Source organism: Homo sapiens, chromosome 1 (assembly GCF_000001405.40).
Source record: "Homo sapiens chromosome 1, GRCh38.p14 Primary Assembly".
In the NCBI taxonomy this organism is placed as follows: Eukaryota; Metazoa; Chordata; class Mammalia; order Primates; family Hominidae; genus Homo; species Homo sapiens.
Genome location: NC_000001.11, coordinates 20,306,913 through 20,328,316, shown reverse-complemented (window position 1 = coordinate 20,328,316; position 21,404 = coordinate 20,306,913). Strand labels below are relative to the sequence as shown.

Here is a 21,404-nt window from a genome sequence, read left to right as displayed (position 1 = left end):
AGTGAGTGGCAGGCCTGGGCTATGTCCTCTCTCTACCCACTTTCCGTACCTCATTTCTGTACACACACACACTTTGCCCAAAATATTGTTTGATTCTAAAGAGGAGGGGATGTCAGAAGGCTGAGATGTCAGAAAAATGTCCAAACAGAGATAGTTTCTCTTCAGTTCTCTGCCCCCGGGTGTGATCTGGGTTCTCTGTGGGTAGGCAGCTTCTGAGGCCAGCACTAGGGTTTTAACTATTTTTTCCCCTTTCCCTCCTTTCCTCTGCTCCCCACCATGCACCACCCTCCTGGTCCCAGCCTTGCCCCCTCATTACCTCACTGTAGGTCTGGCTGGAAGGAAAAAGGCTCTTAAATGTGGATCCAAACCCAATGATATTGAAGAGGCAGGCTGGCATGAGGCTCTTAAGGGCCACCAACATGGCATCCTGGCAGGAGAGAAAGGGGTTTTCAGGATTCAGGAAGGAGTTCTTGTCACTCGGCCACTGCACTCCAATATTCCCTTTCCCAGCACACGAGCAGCCTCCAAACAGACCTTTACCCTCCTCTGTCTGCACCCAGCAACTCCTTTTCCCTCACATCAAGAAATTTGCTGACACTGACCAGAGGCTGGACCAAAGCCACCACCACCACCACCACCACCACCACCACCATCATCATCATCATCGTCGTCGTCGTCATCATCATCAAACTTATCCATGTAGCAGGTCTGATTTCTTAAAGCCTTTCTATTATGGCTTTCCAGTTCCATTTAACCTCTTCCTGATCCTGAGAGGTGGGGAGAGCAGGGAGCACCCTCTCCCTGCTGCCAAAGCAGAATTGATGTCCAAGGGAGGAAAGTGGCCTGGTCCAGGTCACACTGTGGATGGAATGGCTTCTGGCCCTCCTGTGGGACCTTCTGCATCAGACTCAACCTAACCATCACTAAGGACACATCCTCAGGGGCAGTCTCTTCAGCTCATATTTGTCAGGTACACAGGATGTACTTTACATGCATCACTTCACTGATCTTCACCATAACCCTTCGAGGCAGGTACGCTTTTATCCCCATTTTATAGAAGAGAAGATTGAGGCACAGAGAGGGGAAGTAACATGTTGGTGAGCATCCAGAGGGTAAATAATGGAGTCAGGACTCAAAGCCATGTCACTTTGCCTCCAAAGTCTATGGACACTAAACATAACCCATGTAACCCCAGCAGGAGACCTTGATAAAGGTAGACTGAAAAAAAATAGTGACAATGAGGGAGGTGGAGGTGATGGTAGAAGCAAAATTGATGATGATGATGATCATGATGATCATGATGGTGACGATGGTTATGATACAATGCAATGATAAATATCAAGCAATTACTATGTGCTAAATGTTCTAAGTTATGTCACCCCTCTGAGCCTCAGCTAGGTGCATAGTAAACATTCAGCAAATGGTTATCATTATCAACTCAGTGAGATCTATATTAATATTAATAACCCTGCTTTACAGATAAGGAAACTGAGGCTCAGGAGAGCTAAGGAATTGCCCTGGATTGCAAAACCTAAGACTAATGACAGAGGCTTTAAAAACACAGCTTTGGCTGGGCACGGTAACTCACGCTTGTAATCCGAGCACTTTGGGAGGTGGAGGCAGGCAGATCATGAGGTCAGGAGTTCGAGACCAGCCTGAACCGTCTCTACTAAAAACACAAATATTAGCCGGGCATGGTGGTACACGCCTGTAATCCCAGCTACTCAGGAGGCTAAATCAGGAGAATTGCTTGAACCCGGGAGGCGGAGGCTGCAGTGAGCCGAGATCACGCCACTGCACTCCAGCCTGGGCAACAGAGTGAGACTCATCTCAAACAAAACAAAACAAAACAAAAAAACCCCACAGTTCTGAGATTTTTATTCATGTTGGCTCTGCCTTGGCAGAGGAATGAAGGTCTGTCTCCCCCTCACCCCCATGTCCCCCATCTTGTTTATTGATAGTACCCCAGGGATCTCAGCATGGCTTCAGGGAAGCCGTCATCCTTCATGATCTAGAAGAAAACAGCTGCAAGAGGATTCTGGCACCTTTTACACCACACAGATTTCCAGGCTCCACATACTCACACCCCAATCCCATCCCCCACCCTGCAAACATTAACATTAACATTCTCTCAATCTCTCTTCATTGCTTGCGTCAATACATTTGGTTTCTCTACAAAAGAAGTCAATGTCTGCTTATTTTTTCATTAGTCACTAATGCATATTCCTGCTAGGAGGAGATTCTGCTGATCCATACAGATTGTCTCTGCTCACACCTATTAGAATTTTTAAAGCCATGTTTTTGGCAGCAAGTGGCAGCTGAAGAATGAGACCAGCTGCAGGAAATTAAATTGGCCGGACTTTCCCCTTTGGCATAAGCTCTTTGGATTTCTATTTTCTCCCTCCTCCCTGAGCCTAGATTTTCCTAAAACTTCAACCCAGTGGGTCACAATTAAGGACCCAAGCAACCTTCCAGTGGCCTCATTGTCAGTGGGGAAAGGGGTGTGTAGCCTGAGTAATTTCTGTGCCTTTCTCTAAAAGGGTCATGTTTAGCAGAATGGATGGCACCAATGCAAAGCCATTTGTGAAGGCATGACCTTGAGCTCAGTGAGCTGAACTGGAGAAGGGCAGGAGAGATTCCAAGGAGAAAGAGGACTGAAAGGAGAGCCAGAGAAAGTTATTGTCCGAGAATTCTGGAATGCAAAGATTGGACAGGCTTTCAGTCCAGGAAGTGGATTTCCATTTATGAACTAATTACATTTAACTGGTAGTAACTGCCTGGAACACTGGATGAGAAGGATATAGACTGAGTCCAGGCTCAGCAGGAAAAAAAATGTCATGACCAATTATTGAATTGAGGTCTACCTGGGCTTGGGAGAGGGAGGGGAGCGGAGGGATATATGACATACGTTCACTCTGCCTGAATTGATCCTTCTCTCTCTACAGAAAGTATGAATGAATCCCAGAGTTGAAAATCAGCTTGTCCACAGTCACAGAGCAAATCGGTGGCAGAATTGACCCTGGAATCCAGGTGTTGCTTTTGGCATGATGCCATGCAGCAGAGATGACATCATCAGAGAAGAGAATTTTTTAGTGGAACAGTATGCATAATTCTCCATAAGCAATGTAAGGAAAATGAGCTCTGAAGCAAGACATAGAAGGCCCAGGCTCTCTCACTAGCCCTGTGATGCTGGGAAAAGCACTTAGCCTCTTGGCGACTCAGTTTCTTTACCTGGAAAGTGGAGGGAAAATGGATTAAATGCTCCCTAAGGCATGTTTTAGGTTTATGCTTCTGTGATGCTCTAGGGTAACTGAGACATCTTACGAACTGATAAAGATGCGGAACGGGATACAGATGGCCACAGAGGCCTTGAGCGTGCTTCAGCACTCCAGCACCGAGGACAGCTTCTCATTCCAATGTTTGCCTCTGACGGTGGGCAGGTTGGGGAAGAAGGTGCCAATCAGCCCTACTACACCCCTGTGTCATGAGACTTCAAACAGGAACTTGGGTCCTGTGTATGATTCCTTTGTCATACTTCAAGACAACTGTAGCAAACCCATGGAGATACCTGGCATCCCAGATCCCACCCAACCCTCCTCTCCTTGCTGAGCTTGCTGCCCTGGAAACAAGAGCTTGCTCTGGGAACAAACTAGGGGGAAAGATGAAATTTCAGGTGACGGCAGAGCCCCACTCTGTTCTTGCCCCCTCCTTCCTTGTTCTCCTGAACTCAGTTATCCTTTACCCGGATCAATAAAGAGATAGAAGGCTTTTTATGCATAAACACAGAGCTAGGCCCCATGGAAAAAGACAGGTGAGAGGATAGACGACCCTTTTCCTAAATGAGTTCATAACTCCAGAGAGACAGACATCTGCACAATCAAAAATACAAGGGAGTGTTGGATAATGCCACAATGGAGACCAGTAATCTCCTGGGGGTGGGGCAGGGGGCAGGTGAAATGCATCTGGATTGTGAGGGGGGAGGATTCTATCACCATTGCTTCCACCCTCCTGAGGAGCTCTCCTTAGCAGGGAGACCAAGCTCCCATGTATTCTGATTGGCTAGCAGGCCTGTGCCTCTCTCTTGACTGTCAGCTCCTTGAGGACAGCAAATGTGTTTACATTCTGCTGTTTTTCCAGATGGCCAAGGGCAAGGCTTGGCACCTATTAGGCATTTGAAAAAAAGAGAAACCAAGTCTTTTCTACCAAATTCTACACATTCCTTGATGGCAGGGGCCATGTCCACTGAAGCTCTGATGTCAGGTGGTGGGGACAGTCAGGGAGACATGGATTTAATTTTAGACCACAGTGGCCATGTGACCTTGGGCAGGTGACTGAAACTCTCAAGATCAGCTTTTCTATATGGAAAATGGCAAAAATAGGATCAAACGCATAAGATTATTGTCTGGATGAGGTACCAAGCTTCACGTTAAGTGGCTAGCACCGTATCCAACACATAGCAGACCCTCAGCAAATGTTACTTCCCTTCCCCTCTTCCCTGTGCCCTGCTCCACTCAGTACCTACTGGAGTGTTTTAGCTAAAGTTTGTAGAATGCAAAGGACAGCTACGGATGACTTCATCCCTTATAAATGGATGCCAGCTCAGCTTCTGCTCACACCACTTCATGTTTTTATGGGGATGCAAATGGAGTTTGGGTATCTCTGTTTAAACTGATTTTTAAAAGTTGTTTCTTGGAACAGAAAGTGCTGAGGAAGCTGGATTGGGGGCACACAGCTGATTTCCCCTGGAGCCCCGGGTCCTCGGGAGGGGTTCTCTCAGCAGGTACCTTGACTCGGTGCATGCTGATCCCGCTCATGCTGCTGCTCCTGTCAATGAGGAAGATGAACTCCCCGTGGGCCTTTCTCAGGCACGGCTGGACTGACTGGAGGTCGGGACAGAAGTTGAGCATGATGACGGAGTGGTGGGGAATGTCTTTGTGGAGGCGTTTTCGAATGATTTCTGTCTGGAAGAGGAAAGAACACTCTGATTGGGCAATCAGGGTCAAGAGGTACTCCTGGGGACTCATGCTGGTCCCCGTCACTCACCGTGCACCCACATCCTGCTCAGGCTCTGCATGGAAGACTTCCGGGCTGACTGTGCTCAGCTCTTCTGTTTGCTAGACCTTCACGGGTTGCAACAGCAAGCATGGACTTTGCAGACAGAAAGACTTGGGTTTGAATCCCAGCTCTGTCACCATCCGACTGTGTGATATGGGGGTGAGTCCCTCCTCTGGGTCTATTTACCCATTTGTAAAATGGGGCGAATAATGTCCGCTTCTCAGGGTGGTTGTGAGGATGAACTGAGTCAGCACAGACGCGAGAAGCCCGTTGGTTGAGTAATGGTCTCTCGCTTTTACACTCAGTGTGTATACTGCTCTCTGGCTCATGTTGGCTGTGAACTGGGTTTCCTTGGTTTACCGATTCTCTCCCGTTGTTAAATTCCTACTCACTCTTCAAATTCTACCTGTTTGGAAAGGCTTCCCCAATTTCCAGGTGGACTTAATTACTTAGTTTCCTCATCCATTAAATGAGGACAAGAAGACATACCTCACTGAGTCGTTGCATGGGTTCAGTGCACCTGTGAAGCTGGCTGCCTGGCAGAGAGCAATGGCCTCTAAACAGCAGCCATCATTGCCATTGCTGGTGCTGCTGTTGTTGGTCCTGGAGGCCCAGGCACTTCTCACACCGAATAGTTTTTTGCTCCGATCTCTGCCTCCCGTCAACTTGTTTGCTATTATACTTGAGGGCAGGTCATCTCTTAGCTTCTTTTACCTCTCCAGAATTTAACACAGGGCCTAGTCCAGAGATGGATCAGTAAAGATTAAGGAAGGGACAGGGCCTTGGTGTTTATCCTTTTATGTGGCCTCCTAGCTGGCCCTGAGGCCAGGACCCTTCCCCTTGCTTCTCCCCCTCCCCTTCACACAGAATCTCATTTCCTTTGTTCTCACGCTGCTTTCACTTTCCACCCCGACTTTCTCTCTCTGTCTCCTTATCTGGCTGTCTCTGTGTGTACACGTGTCTCTGTGTCTGTTTCTCAGTTTCTGTCTATTTGGGTTCCTTCCCCATCTCAATAGATGACATCACCACCCACCCAGTTGTTCAAACCAAACGCCTAACAGTTGTCCTCAGTTCCCCTCTTTTCCTCACTCCACGCATTCCATCCTGCAGCAAAGCATTGCCAGTCCTGCTGCTAACATGCAGCCAGAACGCGTCCACATCTCTCTGACTCCACTGCTACTGCCCGTGTTCAGGAGAGGACTGTCTCTCTCTCTCGACCTTTGCAATAGTCTCATCCTGCTCTCTTTCTCCAACTTTTATCTCCCTGTGGTCCATTCTGCAGAGAGCAGCCAGAGCGACTGTTCTTGTCATTCTCTTGCTCAAGCAGTGCCCTCACTGAATACTCTGAACCATAGTTTAGGAAGCCCCCTGTGGCTTGACCCCTGCCTGCCTGTCCACCTCCTCTCTACCCACTCTGCTCCCTATATTTCAGCCGCACTGACCTTCTTCCTGTTTTCCAAAAAGGTCACCATTGTTCTGCTTCCTGCTCTTCCATCCCCTGTGCCCTCTCCATCCATTCCTCCCACGTTGGGCTCTTGGTCTTCTGCCAGGTCTCATCCTCAGACAGGCTTTTGCTGACGCCCGGCTAAAGAACACCCAGCACCTACTACTCATGATCATATCAGCCCTCTCCAAACAGATCTGGCTCATTGATTTGCTTTTTTATTTTTATTTTTTTGAGACAGAGTCTCGCTCTGCCACCAGGCTGGAGTGCAGTGGCTCAATCTCGGCTCACTGCAACCTCCAACTCCCTGGTTCAAGCGATTCTCCTGCCTCAGCCTCCCGAGTAGCTGGGATGACAGGCATGCGCCACCAAGCCCAGCTAATTTTTGTATTTTTAGTAGAGACGGGGTTTCGCCATGTTGGCCAGGATGGTCTTGATCTCCTGACCTTGTGGTCCACCTGTCTCGGCCTCCCAGAGTGCTGCGATTGCAGGGGTAAGCCACCGCGCCCGGCCTGATTTGCTTTTCTTCCTCTGTCTTTCCATCCCAGAATATAAGCTCCATGAAGATGAAGACTGTGTCATTCTCAGTATTGCCCCCCTAAGATTTATTTGTTGAATAAATAAGTGAGGGAATTAATCTGTGTGGGCCTTTTTGTCTGCCAATGACCTGTGTGTGCATCTTTTCGTGTTTTTTTTTTTTTTTTGCCTCTGTTACTCTTGGCATCTCTGTGTCTCACGCGTGGTGTGCCCTTCTATGTGATCTACCCTCTCCTTGCTAAACCAGGGTTTCTGACAGCTTGTCCCACCCACTCTTCCTGATTGATGTTCACCCTGTGGATACCCACAACCCACTCTTCTCCCTGCCAAGGGATCTCGCTGTCTCTCTCCCACGTGAAGCCGCTCCACCAGAGGCCACAGCCCAGACGGGCTCTTTTGATGACAGAGCCCTAGGCAGAAGCAGCCACATCTGCCAGTGAGAGAAGCCACCTCCAGAAACCTTATCTGCCTCTCAGAGGGACTGGGTTGGTGCCCTGGCTCAGGATTCTCTAATGTCTCCTCAAGCTGCCATTATCCAATTATTAATAAACTCATCATTTCTTAGCAGCTGTGGGTTGATTGCTGTCATCCCTGGAGTTTGTGAGAATACGGGCTATTTGCATAACCACCCCAAGGTGGCAAGTTAATTCTCATTTGCTTCCGCCATCCCCGAGCCAATTATTTAAGGCTTGGCAGGCAGGGCAGCCAGCCCCAGGCCTGGGAGGCCCACTGGGCCCCACTGGCCCATAGGCAGCAGTTCTCAGAGCTCAATGGGACCTCTGGCACTGCCACCCCCTACTCTGAGAACCCCGGGCTCCAGCTTCTTATCCCAACTGACTCATCTGGCTGAGGGGCACCTCTGGGAGAGCATGTGCTTCTAGGGGGGTCTCTGTCCACTTCCCCACCTTGCCACTGCCCTGTGCCAGCTAGGCGGGCAGAGCATGGGTGGTGGTGTGAAATCCAGCTCAACTGCCCCACAGAATCCGTTCTCATCCCTTAGCCTCCTGGTCACCAAATCTAACTTCTGAGATCACAGTCTTTCCCTTCCTCCAGCTTACTGGTGATCTTTGGGTGCCAGATCTCAGTTTTCTCATCTAAAAAGGGGGCTAATGGAAAGAGATGAGCCATCATTCTGAAACCTATCTTGGCATTCAGGACCTGGCTCAGTGTGCAGGACCATGAGCGGGAGGCAGAGCATGGGGTGTGACTTGTGGCTGACGCTCAGCCTCCAACGTTCCCTTTCCCATTCCTGGCCCCTGGCCAGGCCTCCTTGTCCTGCAGCTTCATGGGGTGGGGGACAGCAGAAGGAGAGGATCTTTCTCAGGCTTTCCCCACTCTGCCTTTGTCCTTTATGTCATAGCAAGCAAGGGCCCCAGAGGGAGGAAGAGCAAGAGGCTACCCAGCTGGTGGGTAAGGGAGGTCCAGGAGGTAAGGAGCTGAAGGGTCCTGGGCACCCCTGGGGATGCAGAGGCCTGGAGGAGGCCAAGGCCATTCTGCCACCATATATAAATTTTCCTGGCTTAGGCACCTGCTAGGTCCTGGAGAAAGGTGATCTGGCAGGAGGCGGGAATAGAGCCAGGATGACGGGGCATTTGAAAGTGCCCTGCAGTGCCCGGGGGCCCACAGAAGGAAACACTTCTTGCCTGGTGTCTGCCTCCAGCTTGCTGGATGACCTCGGGCAGGTTACCTCCCCACCTCACTTGTTCAGTGGAGACCAGGCCTCAGCGCCACCCCAACTCTGCCACCGTCCGCTCCCCACCTCAGTTGCCCTCACCTTCCGCTCTGCTCTGCTCTTCTTCTTCATCCCTTTAATGAAATCTGTTCTTCCCTTCAAGTGCTGGTCAAACTCTCCCAGGGTCATGTCCCCTTTCTCTATCAGGACATGGGGCATATGGGGCTCTGCAGAGATGAGATCGACTTTCAGCACTTGGCCAGGTATCGTAGGAGAAGGATGCTGGGGGCTTTGGTTTAGGTGCAAGATTCTCACAGGGGTGGGACTCCCATTTGGAAGCGGGGTGGAAGCCCTGGCTGCCTGAAGCAGTGTAGGGCTAGGGAAGACTCCTTAGCTGGGAGGCAGGGGAGCCTAGTGGCCATGGGTGACTCACTGCCCCTCTCTGGGCCTCAGCTGAGCCATCTGTAAAACGGTAGTAGGATGGGGTTAAATGACTCTCTGATGTGTTTAGGTCCTGACATTCTGTGAATTCTTGAACAGACAAGAATTTCTCCTTGAGGCTACAGAATTTCCAGGGTATCACTGAGCTTTGGGTTTCAAAGATCCTCTCTCTGTTCAGCTGGCCTGGGGGTAAAGTGCCCCGATGGGTGGATGAGACCCTAGGCCTCTGGAGCTTGAATCAGGGCAGGAGACACTCGATTCCACCAGCTAGAGCCAACTTTCCCAGAAGGCAAGTAGTGGGTCTCCTCTCCTTGGCCACACCCCCCACCCCGACTCTTTCCCTGGCTAGCTAGCTGCTGGGCGGGGGGCCACATGTTCTGTCCCCACAGGATCAGCACCTCCTCCCTCCCACAGGCAGCCCAGGGGCCCGTTGTGGGGCACCGTACCGCTGGGGTGGATGAGGATCTCCACAGGCCGGTCAAAGGTGTGCTTGTTGGCCAAGGTGATGATGATGCTCTTGGCCGAGCGGGCAGATGGGGCGGCGTCGGCACGAATCTCATGAGTGGGACTCTCCACCCCTGAGTGGCATAGAAAGGCAAGGGGGATATAGGCTCATGAGGTCAGGAGAGAGAGGAGTTCGCTGGGGCACACCGAGATCCAGGCCAGAGATGAGTGACATGCCAGCCCCGTTAGGGGCTCCTGACCTGCAGTGTGACCATGGCCAGGCTGCCTCAATTTCCCCACCTGTAAAATGAAAGCTTAGATAGATGGTGTCTGATGACTCTTCCTGCTCTGAACTCAGGATCTAGTGGGGGTCGGAGGAGTTGCATTCTTATAGGGCACGCACTGATCCCAGCATCCTGCCAAGCAGATGGCTCTCAGCGCTCCGTCGGAGGGTGCTTTTTTGACGGGTGCTCCATAAACGCACCTCACACTGGAATGCAATGTTGCTCTAGGAGAGGACGCACTGACAAGAAACCATATCCTAGTGTCCTTTTAAGGCTCTGAGTGGTTGTGGGGAGAAGCTTCAGAGCAATGGTTCTCAATCCTGGTTACATGTTAGAATCTCCTGGGAAGCTTTTAAATGTTTCCATGCCTGGAACTCACCCCAGAATCTCTGGGGGGTGGGATCTAGGATGCAGGATGTTTGGGTGTCTCTGGGTGCTTCTGATATGTAGACAAGGTGAGAACCAGGAAGCAGCTTTACAGCTGTGGCCTCTAGGAGAGAACCAAGGGCCACCATTCCCCATGGACATTCTTCCGAGGAAGCCACTGGGGTGAAAGTCGGTTGCCTTGAAATCCATCCTGGGAAGGGACTTATCTTTGGGCTGCTTGTTGGGGCCATGGGAAATGGGGGTCCACAGGCTTTGTGTACTTTAGTAGGTCTGCCATCTGGGCCAGTTGGCTTTCCTTCCCACCCCCGTCCCATCCCTGGCAGCCTTTGGCTTTTCGCCTGAAGCTCACCCATCCCGTCTGGATGTCTCCCTCTCACCTGCGAGCAGACATGGCCCACGGATCTCCAGCTGGAAGTTGAACTCATACTCCATGGGGTTGGACACTTCGGTGTTCAGGAGAGTCGCCAGGCACAACTTATTCCAGGAGCCCGGGGCCCAGGCACCGAAGCAGTGCCTGTCTTTGCTGGAAAAGGGCCGGGGGAAGGAAAGGAGACCAGCCAGGGTGGAAGAAGGGGTCCAGCGCGAGAAGACAAGGAGAGGACGATGAGTTCCAGGCAGCCCAGCCCACCAAGGGGGCCCCCAGACCCGTGCTCTCCCACTCAACCTGACCCCAGGGAGAGCCTGGATTCTGATGTAAGGCACAGCCACCTCCAAGGAGCACCCACACTGGGCCAGGCACCAGGCACGGTGCTCCCGATGGGTAGCTCACATCGTTCTCACCGCAGCTCTGGGAGGAAGATTTCAGGGTCTCCACTTTCCATGTGGGGACACTGAAGCTCAGTGTGGTGAGGTAACTGGCACAAGTTCCCACTATTTTTTTTTTTTTTTTTTTTTTTTGAGATGCAGTCTTGCTCAGTCACCCAGGCTGGAGTGCAGTGGTGCTATCTTGGCTCACTGCAAGCTCTGCCTCCCGGGTTCACACCATTCTCCTGCCTCAGCCTCCCGAGTAGCTGGGACTACAGGTGCCCGCCACTACGCACGGCTCATTTTTTTGTTTTTACTAGAGATGGAGCTTCACTGTGTTAGCCAGGATGGTCTCAATCTCCTGACCTCGTGATCCGCCCGTCTCGGCCTCCATTCCCACTATTAAGATTTGGCAGAGTCCTGGCCCAGATCTCCTAGCCTAGGTCTGTCTGGCTCCATGGTGAAAGAGTTTGTACTGCGTCACGCCACGTCCTGAATCTCTGCTCTGTCTCTGTAAGCTGCAAGCCCTGCGAGTCATTTCTCCTCTAAGTGTTTGTTTTCCCATCCTTTAAATGGGGACAATACTTTGCAGTTGCTTTGAGGACTCCAGGAGCAACGGCTTAGCCAAGTGTCTGTCACCTGCTGAGTACTCACGTTTCGGGACCCTCTTTCTTTGCAATCTCCACCCCATCTCCCATCCTGTTCTGTCTCCACAGGCACACCCCCTAAGGTCTTTAATCTATGTCCTTCCATATGCACACATCCTTGTAAAATACTTGGCAGCATTTGGGTGTGATTGTGCTTTAAGCTGACAAGATTGCCTTATATTATGAGTCTCCCTCGATCTCTTACTTTTTTTGGCACCGTGTTACGTCTTAAAACTCTACCCAGGTGGCTGCAAACCCAAGTCCTCGCTGCTAACTTGATGTCACTTGGGGGCATCCATTACATTGTACTTGTTGTTCCCAGCTCGGCCTCCCTGCATCCACAAATAACGCCACCATGAATATCCCTGTCCGTGCTCCCTTTGGACTTGTGAAAGAACTTCTCCATGATCCCTGGGTGAAAGGCCACACCGAGGATTGCCAGATTGCTTTCCAGGGTGGATGTCCCCTTTCCTAATTCCATTAGCAGTGAACAAGCATCCCCCCTCTCCTCACTAATACTTGGCATCATCTGGTTTTTGAATTTTGTCTTGTGTCACTCTATCTGAGCTCCTTTGAGATTCACAGGGGTTTGAGGCAGTCTTTTCCCAAGAGTGTCACTCTTAACTCTGCCTGCTGGAATGGGCAGGAATAAGCGTATTAGGACCCACTCAGTGGCATCAGGGCCACCTGAGCCTCTTGTTCCCTGATCCACTGAGGTCCGGATGTCCTAGCTAGGCCCTGCCTCTCAAATGCACAAGGCTCGTCATCACTGGCAACACTTACAAAGACAACACACAGGCTGGCGCTCTTTGGTCTGAGACTGGCTTATGCCACCAGCTTCTCTGTTGTGCCAAGTGTTGTCCTTCAAGGCCCTGCACGTTCCCCCTTGTCACCACCCATCTGACCTCTCTCCTTTCCTCTCTCACTCTGCGATAGCCACACCAGCCTTTCTGCTGCTGCCGTGACACATGGCACCTGCTGCTGCCTCAGGGCCTTTGCACTTGTGACTCTCCCTGCACAAAATATTCCCTCTAGAATATGTCCATGGCTTGCACCCTTCATTCAGGTCAGGCCACAAATGGTGTCTAGTTCTTGTCCATTGCAGCTAAAATAGCACTTGTCCCACTCTGTCCCCTTCCATCCCCTATAGCACTTATTTTCATAGAAAATGATCTCAGCTGTAAGTGCCTTGGACTGTGACCCACCTCCTTTTCCCTCCTGTACACCAGGGGAGGACAGAGAAACTGTCCAAGTACTGGGCTTGTCATGTTCCCCTCCCCATCCTGTCAAAAACCCTCTTAATGGTTCCTTGTTGCTTTTGGGAGAAACGCAGTCTTAGCCAGGGCCAAAGGGCATCCAATGCCTCTGCAGCCTCATTGCGTGCCACCTGTGCTTCTGTTCTTCTCTGGGGCCCTGTCCTTGCTACCCCAGGGCCTTTGTCCCTGCTGCTTTCGCCCACGAGAACGCTCTTCTCTGTGCCTACATCCTCCGCATCGTTCAGTTCTCAGCTGAAACATCACTCCTCGGAGAAGCCTGGTCCAGCCCCTGGCCCCCTAGGTTGGGTCCGTCTTTTATACTCTTAGCCCAATGAACTTCTCCTTCCTTGTACTTTTCAGTCAATAACGCATTCCAGTACATAATTAGTCACATAATTCATTGTGTTAATCGTTGTATAATGGTCTTCCACCAAGTTCCAAAATGTCAGGAAACATGTTGGTTTTTCTCTTTCTCTATCCCTAACAACCAGCTCAGTGTCTGGCACATTGTAGGTGCTCAGAAAGTACCTCTTGAGTAAAGTTATGAAATTTGGACAGCTTGGAAATGCTGATTCCAAGCTGTCCAAATTTCATAACTTCTGGCCAGTACCATTACAGGGGCATTTCAGGGATACTTTTAAGTGTTCTAAAAGTGAGCAGGGGAGAAGCAAATGGCTCAGAGGGTGGCAATCGTAGAGCAGAGCCTCCCCATCTCCTCCCTGTCTCCCCCCACCCTGTCCCCTACTAATGTCACCTGACGCACTCTCTGCTGCCCACCTGGGACTCTGATTGGTCTGGGCAGGGCTTCCTTACCCCTGGGCCTGTTGGTTGGAGGTGCCAGTGCTCTTGGTGCAGAACTGGGGCACGGTTGGGGCACAGACAGCAGGCAGAAGGACCCTCACAGCCCCGCTGGGCAGCGTTGGGAGCTCCGAGGAGGTGCTGATGAAGATGGTGACATTCTCCATGGGGGCAATGGTCCCCAGGTTGGCCACGAACAGGATCCGCTCCAAATCCTCGTCCAAGGTCACCTTTCCCGGTGTGCAGGAATGAGGGGCTATGGAAACCCCGTCTTGCAGAATGTTCCCTAAGTGCCAGGCTGGCGTCAGGGGCTGTACATAGATTATCTCTGATCCCCTCTAAGATTGCTGTTGTGGTAAGTGTGAGTGGCCCATTTTGCTGATGGGAAAATCAAGGCTCAGCTTGAGGGTGTGACTTGTGAATAAGTAAGCCATTGAAGCAGGATCTGAACCCCCATGCGTCTGACTCTAGGCCTGTGAACTTTCCACTCTACCTTGCTGGGAGTGGAAAACTTGGACTCACAAAACCCCCAACAGAGAGTTACATCTTCATCCTCCAAACTCTACTTCCCACCCCAAGAACCAAATCGAAGCGTCCTCCACCTTGGGGATCCATAGTTTTGCTCATGCTCTTTCCTTTTATCAAAACACCTATTCCTTCATCCCTAATTAGCCAGTCTACCCACCCACACAACCCCTCCGTGAACACCTCCTTGGTCCCTGATCTGGGCTGGTCTTTTCCTCTAACATCATCACAACCTCTCTTGACACAGCCACTTTCCACCCCCTGCTCCCATCATGGTTACTCCTAGACAGATCCTAACTAGCCTTTCAGACTGTGATAAATCATAACAACTCAGGGACAACTTTGCACATTACACAGGATGAGTGCTCACCGAACATTTTAATAACCACGTGAACAAACTTCACCTTGATCGTAGATCCAGTAGTAAGAATCTCTTACATTATATTATACCTGGTCTACATTCTAGCCCTGGCTCTTCCACTAACATGCTGTGTGACGTGCTGCCTAAAAGGCAGTAACAGCTGTCTTTTACTGACCTTGAGCCAGTTGCTCTCCCTCTCTGAGCCTCAGTTTCCTCAGTAGCAGGCATTAGTAGCCATGCTTTGAGTATTTACTGTGATGTGAGTCCTCTGCGTGCATTGTCCTTGTTGAGCATCGGGTGAGGACAGCTATTTATTCCATTTTACAGAGGGGGTTAATTTTTTCTCTAAGCTCCACCATTTGTGAGCAACAGGAAAGGAAGTCAAATCCTGGTGTGACTGGTCCCACAGCCTCTGAACTTAAAAGATATGTTATTCTGTTCTCTAGAGAGACCTTTAAAATCCTTTTGTTGCCTCCCTTCCTTTGAGCCTCACACTTTTGAGGTGACTACAGAAAGTCAATTACCTCTGTCTTACAGACAGTGAAGCTGAGGTTCAGAGAAGTTCATTATTGGCCCAAGGTGGCACAGGATTCTGTCCAAGATTCTTGACTAGTTCAGTGCTCTTTCTGCCTCATATCCCACTGCTATCCTTGCAGTTGGCCTGAGGCTCCAGCCCAGGCAGCCTCTGGCTGGCCAAACCCAGGTCCCGCGGCAGCCCTTCTGGTCTCCTTACCTGTGACTGTTGGGGATCGAACATGGGAGGCATCGAAGTGGCCGCTCTCCAGCTTGGCTTTGTCCTTGATCTGTACTGTCACGACACGGTCGGCAATGACTGCCTCAAAGCCGATCACCGTGGTGCACTCATCCAGGGGGTACACGAAGAGGCCTGTCGGAGCAGGGCCCAGCATCACGGGGTGCCCCAGGCCTACCCTGCACACCCCTTGCCTGGAAGGAACCTGAACCCTTGGTCTGCCTGTTGGGTGGTGCCCACTGCCGCTTATTGGATGCCGAGAGGCCTCGGCAGAGAGCCAGACTGGGACCTCCCAGCTCTGGGACCAGGTGGGTAAGCACAGCGGCAGGGCCAGCTCTTATTTTGCAGGTGTGTGAGCCTGGTGTGGCCAGAACTTCTGATTTTCCAAGAGAGTGAAAACATGGGTTTCTATGGGACTTGTGTGGGCCTCATATAGCACATCTGTGTGGTCAGTTTTGTCCATGGGCCACAGGTTTGCCACCTGTGGCATGGAAGATTGGGGCTTTGGAGGAAGACTAGAGTTCTAATCCAGACCCCATCATGTTTCCTAGCCAGGTGACCTTGGATAAGACACTTAGCTTCTCTAGGCCTCCTGGCACCACCTGTAAGATGGGGATAATGAAGCCTAATTCCCAGGGTTTGTAGTGAGAATCGAAAAAATAGGCATCATTTATTAAGCCACGTGCCACACATTATTATATCTTAGTGCTTCTCAAACTTTCGAAGCTCACGAATGACCTTGGATTTTGTTAAAATGCAGACTCAGATTCAGTAGCTCTGGGGTAGGGCCAGACGTCCTGCAGTTCTAAGCAGCTTCTGAGTAATGCTGGCGGCTGGGGATCACATTTACAGTGTTAAGGTCTTATTTTATCTACCCTCTTAATATTGGAACAGCACAATGTTGGGTCCAGGGTGAGCCCCTCACAAACCCCGACCTCCGCTCCCTCTGGGCCTCAGTTTCCTCATCTGTAAAATGGGGGCACTTGTTCCTTCTGCACGTGGAAAGCCAAAGGGCTGCTGGAAGTTATTTGGTATTTAGCCCCCTGAGTCCACAGGTAGATCCTCATTTAAGTCGCCCTCTCTAGGTTTCCTTGAACAGAGGAACAGGGCCATTTGCCCTGCCCAGGAGATTTCTAAGGGAAAGAAAGTTTCCCTGCAGCTCCCTTTGGGTAGTGTTGGTCCTCAGGGTAGCCTGCAGGGGTTTCAGAACCTCAGGTGGGGCTGAGGTTTGGTCACCAAAGGTTGGTGACCAAAGACATGAAGTTTGGTGGTTATGAGGCCCCATCACTGCGGATAGGAAGGGAATCCTGGCCGGTGTCCTCCTAGCCTTCCCACAATTCCCCTCCTGAAGTGGAAGGAGAGGAGTTTGATTTACAAATGACTCTGGCAGGCCAGTGTGACTCCACATCCCTGACCGTGGTTCATATTCACAGATGGTTTCTCAGTCCACAAAGTCCTGCCTTCTGTATTACCTCATCTGCTCCGCCACAATCCAGGGCATCTGGACAGCAGAGAGGAGCATAGCGATTTTGAGGGAGTGGCAGCTTCCCCAGGGTCATAGGAGCAAGAACCATGGTAGGAGTGGAGGCTCCTGGCTTTGACTGAGTCTTGATGCCTCTCCTCTTGTGAGGCTCCCTGGAGAAAGTGTGGGACTGACCTGTGGACAGTGTGCCTTGTGGACTGTAAAAATGCAGGGACAGTCTGGCGCTGTGGCTCATGCCTGTAATCCCAGTACTTCGGGAGGCCGAGGTGGGTGGATTGCTTGAGCTCAGGAGTTTGAGACCAGACTGGGCAACATGGAAAAACCCCATCTCTACAAAAAATGCAAAAATTAGTTGGGTGTGGTGGCACATGCCCGTAGTCCCAGCTACTTGGGAGGCTGAGGTGGGAGAATCTCTTGAGCCCGGGAGGTGGAGGCTGCAGTGAGCCGTGATCGCACCACTGCATTCAAGCCTGGGCGACAGAATGAGACTCTGTCTCAAAGAAAAAGAAAAGTGCAGGGACAGTTGGCTGGGGCTGAATCCAAACCTCCTCAGCTCAAATCCTGACCCTCCTTGCTACTAGCTTTGAGGCCTGCAAAGCAGAAAGAATCTCACCATTTTATAGATGAGGAAACAGACTCGGAGGGGTGGCATGACTTGCCTAAGGTCAGTCAGCGAGTAAATGTCAAAACAGGGATTCACTGTGGAGGAGGGGGTGGTCCCGGGGAGGCCCCAGCAGGTGTCCTTACCCTGGAAGGGCTGGGCTTCCAGGTTGCCATAGGTGAGGGAGGCAGTTAGGCCCAGGGCATAACCGCTGACACAGGAGGTAACATCAGACGCGGTGAGGGGCAGGGCTGCCCCCGTGATCCAATTCAGCAAGCCGGGCATCCCGCTGGCTACTCAGCCTTCAGAACCTGTGAGACACAGGAAGGGCAGGAAGTGGGAAGAGGCTCCCCCAGGTCCCCTCAACCTAGTTTTCCCGTTTCAGACACCCTCAAGCAATCAGAGCATCATTGTTTTCATTTTCCCCAAGAACTTCCCAGTTCCTGGGAAGGAAGTGACCGCAGGATAACTACCAATCTCCCCTGAGAAGAGAAGTGGCCGTTCTCTTCCTTTCATTTTACAGGTAGAGAAACTGAGGCTTGAAAGCATGTGACCTGCTGGGATTCACTCAAAGCGTTGGCGCACAGTCAGGGCTAGAGCCCAGTGAGCCTCACGTTCAGCCTGGAATTCTCCCCAACAGACCACGCGGGGAGGGGAGTCGAGGGGCTCAGGCTCTGACCCCATCCTCTATGTGTCCGGTAATCTCTAAGCCTCAGATGTTGCCTCTGCAGAATGAGAGCGTTGGAATAGCTCACCACGTCCCTCCTCTGACTTCAGTGAGGCTGCCCACTGCAGTGAACGCTTGGTATGTGAGGGCCAACCCCAATAGTCACCAAAGTAAGGGGAGCCACATTCTTCCAGGTGTAGAGGCCAAAACCTGGGAGTCATTCCTGCACCTCCTTCTCACCACCCCCCACCCCCACGCCCGCAACACACACACACACACACACACACACACACACACACACACACACACACAGCCAATCCATCGCCAAGACCCATGTGTCTTCCCTAGAAAAGCCCTTGTATCCGTCCACATCCTCCCTTCATGGCCACCAGCACCCTGTCCCAGGCCACCACCACCTCTGCCTGGACTGCAGCTCCTGATCTGCCTCTTGAATCTACTCTTGCCCAAGAATCCATCTTCCACCCACTGGCCAGAACAAACATTCTGGACACATAAACTGGACAGGTCTCTGCTACCCCACTACCCTCTTCTACCCACCAATGGGTTCCCTTGCTTCTTGGACAGAGAACCAAAGCTTAAGGTGGCCTGTGGCTCTGTGGGGTTGGGCCCCTGCTGGCCTCTCCAGCCCAGCATCACCACGGTCCCCAAACACACCCTGCGGGTCCCAGCAGTTTCCACTCCGGACATGTGTCCTGTTCCTTCCATCCCTGTGCTTGCTGCTCTGCCTGGAAGGCCCACCCCATGCTCATTTTTAAACCAGTAACCCCCTACTCATCCTTCATGGTCAACTTGGGTCCCCTCTGCAGGGAGGCCAGACCAGTGTGCCCAGCATCCTCTGTCATCCCCCCACGGAGCTGAGTTTTTCTCCCCAAGAGTATCTCTATCCATTTGTTGTGCTGCGTTCTGTTTCTGAGCGATGTCTGTTACTCTCTGTTTCCCATTTGAGCATAGGCGCTACACACGTGGGCATGGGCCACATCGACTTTGGCTTCACCTTGATTCGACTTTGGCTTCACAACCCCCTTTGTGTTGATTGAATGAATAAGAGAATGCATGGCTTTCATCCTTGCAGGATGAAGGCCTCCATAGCACTTCTCAGGACCACATCTCAATGATCTAGGGCCTCCCAAGACCCTCGCCCAAGTAATCACATGCCTTGAAGAAGTGGGGTGGGAATGGGAAGCAAAGTCAAATGAAGGGTGTGGGATAGAAGTCTGAGGTCAGATTCCCTCTGGTTTTCCTGTCTGCGGGGTAGGTGCCAGGCAAAGCTTCCCTGGGCTGGTAGCCTGCTGCCCTTTATTTGCAAGGCTGTTCAGTGAGTGCTGACTACCCTGCTCTTTCTCAAAGAAGGGACTGTTTCCCCCTGGGTCCCCTCCATGTCCCCAGCTGAGATCCTCAGGTGCTCCCCGACACCCCGGCACCCCGCCAGGCCAGCAGTGGCTTTTTAATTATGTTCTCCCTCTGGGCTCAGGCCCAGACAGCTCTGGGCTTATCTCCTGTTGGGCTGACTGACAGCAGCAGGCAGATAAAGAGCCGGGAGGGAGCTGCTGTCTCCCCAAGTAGCCTTCTCTCAGGAGATCTCTCTCCTGGTGGCCAGAGCAAAGCCTGGCAACTTCAAGGGGGTGGGGAGGCAAGACGTGAGGGTGCTGGACAAGATGGCGGCCTTCATTTCCTGACAGAGCCACATCCCCCCTCCCAATGTTCACTCCCCGCCCAGTCCCCCTGCATCCTGGTTCGCTCCTGTCTGGAATGCTGATTGGGGAACGCAGCCTTAGGGAGCCAGCACCCAGACATGCAGCGATCCCAGACCTCAGCTCCAGTCCACCTTGGGGTGAGATTCTGCCGAAGGCATCTTACCCAACCCAATCTGCCCACACTGTCCCTGGCCCAGGGAGCGGGGCTTAGATGAGGGACATCTCATCTGATAACAGACGGCAGACTCCCTCAGCATTGACCCTTTAGGAATGTCATGCAGTTATAAAAAAGAACAAAACCATGTCCTTTGCAGCAACATGGATGCAGCTGGAGGCCATTAGCCTAAGCGAATAATGCAGGAACAGAAAACCAAAAACCCCATGTTCTCACTTGTAAGTGAGAGCTTAACTTTGTATACTCATGGACATAAAGATGGCAATAATAGACACTCGGGACTACTGGTCGGGGAGGGAAGGAGTGGGGAAAGGGTTGAAAAACTAACTATTGGGTATTGTGCTAACTACCTGGGTGACGGGATCAGTGGCACCCCAAAACTCACCATCATGCAACATATCCATGTAACAAACCTGTATATGTACCCCCTAAATCTAAAAGTTGAAATTATCTTAAAAAAAATACACACACATGCACGCAAATAAAAAACCAAAATCTATATTACAAAAAAAAAAAAAAGAATGTCAGAACCCCTTGGAAAGAATAAACTTTAAATCCTGTGGAGGCCTGGTTAATGCATATTTTTTATCAATTCATCCAGCATTGATAAGCACCTACTGTATTCCAGGCCCTGAATTAGCCACTGGCTATACAAAGATGAGACCCAGCCCACATGGCAAGGAGTTTATAATCTAGCAGCAGAGGAAATGTGGGAGTGGGGAAAGGTCACAGCAATGACAGCGGGAATTTATTAAACACTGAAAATGTGCCAGGCACATATATTATCTCATTTAATCCTCATAAAACCTTCTAAGGTATTATTCTTCTGCAGATGAGGACAGTGAGGCCTCAAGGGAGTGTGCTGGCTTTGGATGTGGGTTTGGGGTGCCTCAATGGCACACAGGTAAATGGGTGTGCGTGTAGGACTTTCTCCTGGGAGGGGCCCAGGGCCATCCCCATGAGAGATGGGGACCATGAGGACCAGAGTAGATTCTGCTGAGTGTCTTCCCTTCCAGCTCTGTCCCAACCTGGGCCTCAGGTGGGCGCGGGCCACAGGAAACACCCAGGGACAGGGACGAGGCCATGGCATCTCCGGGTCAGGGTGTGGGAAGCCAGGGCTCAGTCTTCGGAATGGTGTCTGGTGTGAGTGGGGCTTGTCAAGTGTGTGAGGGTCAACACTATGTTTACCTTCCCCACCTCCTTCCTCAGTGTGCCACACAGCGTGTCTTTGTCCAGTTCCTTGACTTTTGGGATGCTACATCTGGAAAAGAGCTGGTGAGGTGAGAGAAACCAGAAAGGGATTGAGTGGAGCTGGCAAAAGGGGCCAGGGGAGAAGAGGGAGGGAGGGCCTTAAAGAACAAGGGAGGGAGGACTGGGGAGGGCAAGAAAAAAGGATTTTTCAGAAGGAGTGCCCGGA

The 21,404-nt window shown here is 51.4% G+C and overlaps 1 protein-coding gene across 15 annotated transcripts in view; it reads right to left on the bottom strand.

Annotated features, from left to right (window-relative positions):
* Nucleotides 1–21,404, bottom strand: part of VWA5B1 (von Willebrand factor A domain containing 5B1) — a 68,644-nt gene that overhangs the window by 31,202 nt on the left and 16,038 nt on the right. For 9 of the 15 annotated variants that reach the window (NM_001039500.3, XM_047445799.1, XM_011540684.3 and 6 more), the window contains exons 2-9: nt 17,577–17,741; nt 15,329–15,481; nt 13,725–13,995; nt 10,642–10,787; nt 9,596–9,727; nt 8,811–8,935; nt 4,785–4,961; nt 317–427 (exon numbers count right to left, since the gene is read on the bottom strand). In NM_001039500.3, coding sequence (NP_001034589.2) covers nt 317–427; nt 4,785–4,961; nt 8,811–8,935; nt 9,596–9,727; nt 10,642–10,787; nt 13,725–13,995; nt 15,329–15,481; nt 17,577–17,715 — 1,254 coding nt within the window. In that variant the 5' untranslated portion in view covers nt 17,716–17,741. The other 6 variants (NM_001377531.1, XM_011540690.3, XM_006710360.4 and 3 more) reach the window with 6 other exon arrangements.